The 2,682-nt window shown below is 37.9% G+C and overlaps 1 annotated feature.

Annotated features, from left to right (window-relative positions):
• Positions 1,840–2,422: an enhancer, noted in NCBI's record as "OCT4-NANOG hESC enhancer chr2:139802995-139803577 (GRCh37/hg19 assembly coordinates)". NCBI's record gives its function as "activates a minimal SCP1, AML or CMV promoter by ChIP-STARR-seq in primed H9 embryonic stem cells {active_cell/tissue: H9 hESC(primed)}" and the evidence as "EXISTENCE:reporter gene assay evidence [ECO:0000049][PMID:30033119]".

Genomic DNA, 2,682 nt, shown 5'->3' on the forward strand with positions numbered 1-2,682 from the left:
CATACATTCCTTCAATAAATAACCTGCTCATGGTAAGCTCTTTGTTAGATAATAAGGCTTCTAAGTATCTTAAAGATCTATCCTTCCAGAAGGTTTACAGGGAGACTATGGTAGAGAAGGTCTTATATTTAAGTGATTTGTAGACATAAGTTTTATTTGAAGGACTAAATTATAAATTGATTCACAGAAAACTCACAAAGTTTGTAAGTGGATTGTATTATCATAAACTGAAAGAAATAGAAAAAAAATAAAAAAAGAAAACAGGTGTTTGGGTGCCCAAAACTTACATGGGCAAAAAGCAGGTTGAGATAATTACTTAGCTACAAACAGGTGCTTTTGTGGAAAAGAAAGGCTAACTCAAAAGGCACAACCAGGAGCCCAGAAGAGAGAGTGAAGGCCACGGAGAACACCTCCCAGCCAGTAAACAACTAATTAAGGAATTGGCAACATATACCCAACATGTCTGAATTGCTATGAAATAATGACTTTTGTGTAACTCAGGTTTTTTCCTTTTTGAATGGGAGTGGCTATAGCATTTAATCTACGCTTCTTTCACCATTGCATGTTGGAGGCACTAGGGGAGGAGTTGTCATTTTAGTTCACACGACTTCCAGTTGAGAGGAATGTTACTCAAAGTGTTATGCTTGAGTAGCCTCATCTATAGAGCTTCTTTTACACCTAAATATGATTTAGGTGACATATCTTGGACTTCTAAGTGACACTATAAAGGATGAGGCTCAGGGAGTTTGTAGAGGAAGGAGGATAAATACATTTTATACTTCAGAATAATGTAAATTTTTGTGGCCAGAGGACAGTTTGCTCAAATTGCGTTTTCCAAAAACGGCATAAATCATCTCCCATCAGACATGCTGTTTTTACTTTGTGACCTTGTCACTCCTCCATCAAGAGGTAGATTCCATAATCCCTTTCTCTGAACCTGAAAGGACAGTATGACCACTAATAGGGTTTGGCTCTGTGTCCCCACCCAAATCTCATCTTGAATTGTTCTCCCATAATGCCCACTTGCTGTGGGAGGGACCCGGTGGGAGATAATTGAATCACAGGGGTGGTTCCCCCATACTGTTCTCGTGGTAGTGAATAAGTCTAATGAGATCTGATGATTTTATAAGGGGTTTTCACTTTTGCTTCTCTCTCATTCTTTCTTGCCACAGCCATTTAAGAAGTACCTTTTGCCTTCCACCATGATTGTGAGGCCTCCCCAGCCACATGGAACTGTAAGTCCATTAAACCCATTTTTCTCAAGTATAAACCTCAGTATTGTGGAACCAAAATTGGGGTCAAATTTTTAGGCATTTCTGAGAATCAGCCTAATGAGCCCATAAATCATTTATAGAGCTTATCCTGCATACTAAGAACAGGAAATTTGTGATTAAAAAGTACAAATTATTTTATGCTTTGTAAAATTATACTACATATTAGGAAAGCAAAATGATGAAGTTTTGTCTTTGGCTCAATTTTTAAAACATTCATTAAGTGCCTATTACATGCAAAGCTCTCTGTTTGCAACTCTAGGAAATACCAAGATATACTTTCACACTATCTCATGGAGTAGATAGACTTACATATGAACTATCGTACATATCAGTCTGGGTTGATTAATAATAGGAATAAAAGGAGCATTCTGTAATTGAATTGACTCTTCCAAGACTGAAGGCAATTAATAATTTTGGAAAACATAATCTGCTATGGTATTGAAATCTGTATTTTTAAACACATTCTTTTTCATTTTTGCATTGTTAGAGAACAAACATGAGTGTGTGTCCATACATTTTCCAGATATCTGATACTTACCTCCTTAAGCACCAATTTCATTCTTCAAGTGTGATTTTAAAAACTTGTTTACAAAGTAAGAGAATTTCCTAAAAAAATAAACAAAATTCTTAAAAGCTCACGACTGGGCTTTAGCTCTGACAGGGAAAGAGCTTGGAAATTGTCGCTCCATCTTACAACAAGTAAAAGGTGAACAAACTGAAAATAAGGACTTTTCTTCACACTCTGGGAACTCAGGTCACAGGGCAATCTGGTCCTCTGAAATGTAGAGAGATAGGCACATTCAGAGAAACAAAGACAGAACAGCCACGATCTGCATATGTAGATTAGAAGCTACTGGGGCCATTAACTGCTTGGAGTACTTAAGGAGGCTGAATGTGGATTAGTATGAGACTGAGGCTCTCTTAGGAGCTGAAGTCTTAGGATGGTCTGCAAACTTTCATGGGCTTTTTCTCCATGAGCCCTACCAAGTTCTTAATGTGAGGATCTGAGAAAGAGCACTATATGACTCTAGCAGGGAAAAGAGAAGAATAGCTAGAATGTCCTTTATAACAAAGGCCTACTCTCCAGATTGAAGGACTTTGACAAAACTCAGTCCAGACATCTTATCATAGCTCAGGAAAGAAATTCCTCCCCATTCCAGGGAGAGATTTCTGGTTTTCCTACCTCACTTAAGGGGGAAAAATAGTCAATAAGAGACAGTGCTTTATGGAAATAGATTGAAATTCTTCAGCCAAGGAAGGGAGTGTGGAGGAGGGAGTACAATATTATACCACTAGAGAAACATTTGTGATCGTCCCATTGCTGAGACATAGGCCTACTGAAAGACTGCAATTTAGTTGGAAGAATATAGAAAATTTCACACCACCACACCAACAGGGCTCCAGTATC

Source organism: Homo sapiens, chromosome 2 (assembly GCF_000001405.40).
Source record: "Homo sapiens chromosome 2, GRCh38.p14 Primary Assembly".
In the NCBI taxonomy this organism is placed as follows: Eukaryota; Metazoa; Chordata; class Mammalia; order Primates; family Hominidae; genus Homo; species Homo sapiens.